Here is a 6,460-nt window from a genome sequence, read left to right on the forward strand (position 1 = left end):
CAGGTAGGGGTCCCCTAGCCAGATGGCAGCAGCACCTAGGAGATTACCTTACCTCTATCTTTGAGGAATGAGTCTGGGCAACAGAGATTAAGGAAAAAAAAAGCAACACTAAAGACAGTCCCACACAAATCAATTTTTAATAATTTCAACTTGCCACCAGCTCCAAATCCAGCTGCCTTGGGGATTTATCACCAGGGAAAACACTAAATGCCCCAGGCTGAGCTATCCATCCAGTGATCAGATGACCCAGCCTGTGATCTCTTAAGAACCTACATCTACACATGGCAGCCTGTTAGTGGCTTCTCTGGAACTAGTGCATAGCTGCTCAATGTTAGAGCCAGAACTCTGGTTCCCAGGGAGGGCGAGTATCCCAAAGAGATTTGAGGTTAAATGGATGGCAGTCCAGGTGGTCCCAGACATGCTCTCACTGCTGAATTCCTGCACTTACTCCTAGAATATACCAGTGCTGTTTGCTCCCGCCATCCTGAGGGCTTTAGAAAGTGCTTTAAAAAGGGAGGATCTCGAAGCAGCAGCTATTTCAGAGGCAGCTGTTGGGAAAGCCTATAGTGGTTCCATGGAGGCTATCCAAGGGAGGAACCACAAGCCAACTCCCCATAAGTCAGGAGATTTGCCTGTGGCCCCACCCAGAATCTGAGCGGACAGAATGGAGGCCTTATGCATGATGCTCACCTGGCCTGTTTCAGATGGAGGGCACCCTACCCCCAGAAAGTTCTCTCCCTCCCAGGCACTAGACCATGACAGGAATAGATTCCTCCCCAGAGGAAATTCTCAGGCAGGTTGGATGTAAACAACAGCAGGGTAAGGGGGTGGAACACGTGGAGGGGAGCTCAGCAGAGGCAGGAGAGGCTGCCAGAGGAGGGGGGGCTAAGGGAGGTGGGGGAGCTGCTGGAAAGGGAACCAGCAAAGTAGGCACCTTGAGGGCTCCAGAAAGCCTGTCAATGTTTATTTCATACACACCCTAAAGACAGTAAAGCAGATTAGAAATTAAAAGTTAAGGTGGTGACCCTATTGTGCTGATGAGTCAAATGGGCCAGAAGAAGGGGAAAGCTAACGGTACTCCTGGTGCCAAAACTAAAATTCAAAAGGCGGTGACTGGACAGCAGAGCACTGGGCAGATTCTCATCTCCAGTTTTCCCAGAGAAGTCAATTCTGAATTCAGAAAATAGGAAAACTGGCTGGGTGTGGTGGCTCACGCCTGTAATCCCAGCACTTTGGGAGGCCAAGGTGGGTGGATCATGAACTCAGGATATTGAGACCATCCTGGGTAACATGGTGAAACCCCATCTCTACTAAAAATACAAAAAATTAGCCGGGCGTGGCACACGCTCCTGTAGTCCCAGCTACTCGGGAGGCTGAGGCAGGAGAATCGCTTGAACCCAGGAAGCGGAGGCTGCAGTAAAGCCGAGATCACGCCACTGCATTCCAGCCTGGGCGACAGAGTGAGACTCCGTCTCAGAAAAAAAAGGAAAAAGGTACCCTATTCCTATCTTACCCTAAATCTGAGCCAAAGGTCCCGATGACTGGACAAAGTGCCAGTGCAGGCAGGGGACACAGATTTCAAGCCAAGCACAGCCCCAGGCCCAAAGGAAGCAGGATGTAGCTCCAGCTATATCTGAGAGTTGATCTGTTTTCAGAAGCCGAGCAGAGCCACTGACTTTCAGGGTGCTGGCATTACCCTGAGGCTTGCCTCACCAGCTCCCGAAAATTAGTCAGTAGCTACAGCTTGTAACCTCAAGATTGGAAATGTGAGGGGCTGTTTAGGGAGCCCACTCTGGAAGTCCCCACATTCCTGGAGGCCTCTCCCCACTGTGCCCACCCATTCCTCCCCAAATAAGATTATCCCTGGCTTGACCCTCCTGCCCCTGCTGCCCAAGCTCCATTGAAGTGCGGTCTTCACCAAGAGAACTTGGTATCTGTGTTTCTCTCCAACCTCGGGGGCAGCCCCCTCTCCCCTCGCTCCCCCTCCAGCCCATGATCCTCATGGGTAAGGGCAGTCAGAGGCTGCTCAGGTAGGCGTGGCCTCAGGAGATAGTGGAGAACTCCTTGAGCAGGACTTCTTGGCTGAGTGTGTGGAAGGCCAGGTTTCTCCGGACGTTGGTGCTAATGGATCGAACCTGGGAAAGGGTAGTTGGGGAAGGTGGGAGGGCGCAGCCAGAGAGAAAACAGGAGAGAGTCAGTTCTAAACGGCAGAGGACAGTGCCTGCTACACGGGGCACTAGAAGTCTCTCTCTTAGGAAATGAACCCTTAACAGCTATTATCCCTGCAGGCAAATGAGCAAACAGTTCCTTGACAGCAGGGAAGGAGAGAAGAGGGGTGGACAGGAACAAACTCTGGAGGATGTAAGAAGAGCATCTGGGCTCCTGGGGAGGTAGAAGCAGGCACAGACAAGAAAGGAGGGCTGAGGCTGACATCTGTCTCTGCTTTGGCTATGCAGAAGGGGGACTGGGCTGCTCAGTGATCTGATGGAGGAGGAGAAACTGAGGCCAGAAGACTCATGCTCTAGCACCACCTCTCTTTAGATGTGTTTCTAGTCTCTTCACTCTCCCTTTGGATTTATTTACATTTTGGGGTTAGAAGGAGCATTTAGAGATGCAGTCCTTTTCTGGCACAGATGGCAAGAGTAGGATCCAAGGAGGCCAATTTCAATGGCCAGGGCCAGGTGACATTGCTAGTGAGTCCCAGCTTGGGAGCAGGGCCGAGGGTTCTTAACTCCTAGTCTAGCACTCCTTCTAAAGATGCCTGCCCACTCGAGAGGAAAGTCTGGGGCGTATCCTTGCTGTGTGCCCACTGCTCACCTCACATACTCTCTACCCACAGAACCCTAACCCAGTGTTGCCTGGGTCAGCAGGGTAAAAGCCTGTAGAGAAAGGGTCAGAGGGCCCAAGTCCCTACTCTGAGAGGGTTCCAAGAGGAATCTGGCAGACTCTTCAAGGAGATTTCCCCACAGGAAATAGCTGTGTAGATTGCCTGAGAAACAAAAAGGGGAAGGAGGAGGAGAGTGTGTCTGCCCTGGGCCCCAAAGTCTCAGGAGCTTTCCTTCAATTTCTGCTATGCTATAGGAAACTTAATGAAGTCATCAGGAAGGAAGCAGAGGAAAGGGCAGCATGGCAAACAGCAGGAAACTTGAGCTCATTAGCTCCAAACTGGACCAGACCCTCTTTGCTCCCCTGTGCCAGGGGAACAAATATGAGCAGAACTGAGTAAGGCCGTGGTGAGTGTCTCAGAGCCTCGAGACACCGCTCCCGTAACCCTCTCCAGCTCCTCACAGATTGCTCTCTGTTAACCATTTGCTCCCAGAACTTCCTCCACATCAACTTAAAGACTTGCCAACCATCCCATAAAAATGTTCCACTCTGCTATCACTTTACACTAATGGTTTCTGTGTTCCAAACTAACTCACCCCAGAGCATGTCTTCCTGACCCTGTGGAAGTCCAAAATCCTGAGGAATGTCATGTCAGGATCAGAGTTGGGCTGTGTTTAGCACAAGACAAACGATCTAATACGCAGTGCCTTCACCACAATTGGCATGGGGTAAGTAAAAGCTGAGCTGACGCAAGTTCAGCCCCAGCAGAGGGAGGTCTAAGGACAGGGGAAGTGGGTACAGAGGCCTGCAGGTCCTGGTCTCAGTCCCCAGCCAGGATGTTTGTGTAAACCAAGCTGGTAGGGTTACAGGACTGCAGGGGGGCTGAGCTTTTCTTGAGAACAGCTCAGAGTACAGGGCAGGAAAGGGACCATCAATAGGGCTAGCTCTGTGGAGACACTGACTGGGAACTTAAGTAGGAGGCAGAGCAAATGCTCATGGCTCCAAGTGCCCAAGGGTGGGGGCTGCAGGAAGCTAAGTGATTGGAAAGCAGGGAATGGAGACTGGAGAACTAGATTGGGAGGGGACTCAGACCAGCGGCCAGTTAGGAGTTTAGGAAGACGTGATTCCATAAGAAGGGGAAGAATTAATTACTTTTATTAGTTGCCCTGAGGACAGGTTAAGGAATAATGAGCCAGATCTGCTGCTGGGAACACACGTCAAACCCCAGGCCCAGCTGGAGCTGTGCAAGGGCTGTCTCCATGGCTGCAAAGGAGAAGTAGGCAATACTACCTCGAATAGCATCTTCTCTTACTGCCTGGTACAATGGGGGAGAGAAGTTGCATACCCCATCCCAGCAGACCCCTCAAGTCTTGTTTTATCTGCAGATAAACTGCAGATAAACTGCAGAACCCAGTGGCTGGGGGCGGGCCCCTAAGACACAGGCAGAGGCGGTGGGGCACTCACCAGCTCTTTGAAGAAGGCAGCTTCCTTGTGCTGCTCTGAGTAGCGCTCATACTGGTCCAGGCCATCCTGCAGCTTCAGCGTGAGCGTGTCATAGTTGGCTCTCACCACCTCCAGCACCTGGAGGACATCAAGGGCCAGGCAGGGCTTAGGCCATGCAAATCCCACAACCCTGAGCCCCATTCTGCTGATCTACTGGGTTGGGTTTGGTCTGTGACAACACCCCCAAGAAACCTTGCTTATTACTTATCTTCCAGAAAACAGCCTGGCTACAGGGAGCGATGCCTCAGGTTTCTGGGACCACTTTCTCTCTCTCTCTTTTTTTTTTTTTTTTTTTTTTTTTGAGACTGAGTCTTGCTCTGTCGCTCAGGCTGGAGTACAGTGACGTGATCTCAGTTCACTGCAACCTCTGCCTCCCAGGTTCAAGCGATTCTCCTGCCTCAGCCTCCCGAGTAGCTGGGACGACAGGGGCACATCACCACACCTGGCTGTTTTTTATATGTTTTAGTAGAGATGGTGTTTCGCCATGTTGGCCAGGCTGGTCTCGAACTCCTGACCTCAGGTGATCCACCTGCCTTGGCCTCCCAAAGTGCTGGGAGTACGGGTGTGAGCCATTGAGCCTGGCCAACTTTCTAATCTCTCTCTCTCTCTTTTTTTTTTTTTCCTTTTTGAGACAGAGTCTCACTCTGTCGCCCAGGCTGGAGTGCAGTGGTGCAATCTCAGCTCACTGCAACCTCTGCCTCCTGGGTTCAAGCAATTCTCATGCCTCAACCTCCTGAGTAGCTGGGATTACAGGTGTGTGCCATCATGCCCGGCTAATTTTTGTATTTTTAGTAGAGATGTGATTTCTCCATGTTGGCCAAGCTGGTCTCTAACTCCTGAACTCAGTTGATCCACCAGACTTGACCTCCAAAAGTGCTGGGATTACAGGCGTGAGCCACTGCACCCACCGCGACTTTCTCATCTCTTCTATTCCCTGCCTTTCCTGACCAGCCCAGCCTGGCCACCAAGTCTGTTTACTCTGAGTACGGCAAAAGAGCATGAGAAGAGGTTACAGAACAGTGAGCATCTCAGCTCACCAATATCCCTGACACCACAAATGTGCTCTCAGCCTTATCCTGAAGCTTTCCCTGGCCAGGCTGTCACAGTTGCTGAGTAAGACTTTGCCAATGTCTCCTTCCTTCTCCCGTTCTGGGAACCACATTTCTTCAGTCTTGGGATGTTCCTCAGCACCATCTGCTACTTGTTTTCATTGCTCAGTGCCAACTCAGTCTTCTTATCCAGTGCCTGGATTGAACTTTAGGGCATCCCAGCCTTTGGGTATAGGGTACGCTTTCAAGACTAAGCTAGAGCCTTTATTCTGTGGGGTTTTTCTCCCACAACATCTCTCTGATTTTCTATGCGGGGAGGATTCAGACTTCCACTGACTCCAGGAAACTTGACTATCTGTGGTTACAGAAAGAAGGGACTGTTCATAGCCAGGCCAGATGTGACTTCAGCTTGTAAGATCATGAATCAAAGGCAAGGACAATCAGGGGAGAGGCACTACACATCAAATCAGAAGTGAGCTAGGAAGAAAGGGGAGACCAAGAAAGGGGATGATCATTCACTCTGATCATCGGAGTGAAGTTGATCTGACCTGGAGGAAAGCCTATGGCATCATGGAGAGCTCCCTGCTCAGTAGGGAGCTTGGAGGAATTAGTGAGTGACAAGGAACACACAGCTCTGACAGAAGGGGGTTGGGGGTTGGGAAGAGGAAATAAGCCAGAGTCAGGATGGAGGACAGGCTCTTGAGGGGCCCAAAGGTGCCTCTGCACTGTTCCCTGCACCAGTCCAAATTTGTGCCAGGCAGACTTCACTTGGTAGCAAACACTCTGGCTGCCAAAAATTCCTGAGGAGAGAGAAGGGCTAGAGGGCACAGGGAAGGCTTGTGTCCCAATGGGAGAGTTACCGAGTTCGGTTTGGGAGGGAAGGAACAGCTAGGGCAAAGGGCTGGCCCAGCTTTCTCCCCTTCAGACACCCAGCTCTACAAGATCATTTTGCCTGGTGTGTCCCACAGACTGTAGTATAGGCTGGTTCCTCTGCTTCTCATTCCACTTGTCAGTTCTGTAGGCAGGAGGACTGGTACCCAGCAACAGCAGTCACCCACAAAGTAATCTGGTCCTCTCATGCA

General features: G+C 51.3%; 1 protein-coding gene across 12 annotated transcripts in view; it reads right to left on the reverse strand.

Moving 5' to 3' along the window:
- ARMH3 (armadillo like helical domain containing 3) overlaps positions 114-6,460 on the reverse strand; it is a 210,575-nt gene continuing 204,228 nt past the window's right edge. For all 12 annotated transcript variants that reach the window (XM_047425735.1, XM_011540157.3, XM_011540154.3 and 9 more), the window contains 2 exons: positions 4,291-4,407; positions 114-2,135 (listed from right to left, as the gene is read on the reverse strand). In XM_047425735.1, coding sequence (XP_047281691.1) covers positions 2,043-2,135; positions 4,291-4,407 — 210 coding nt within the window. In that variant the 3' untranslated portion in view covers positions 114-2,042. The remainder of the gene's footprint in view (positions 2,136-4,290; positions 4,408-6,460) is intronic.

The sequence above is a fragment of the Homo sapiens genome, chromosome 10 (assembly GCF_000001405.40).
Source record: "Homo sapiens chromosome 10, GRCh38.p14 Primary Assembly".
NCBI classification, from domain to species: domain Eukaryota; kingdom Metazoa; phylum Chordata; class Mammalia; order Primates; family Hominidae; genus Homo; species Homo sapiens.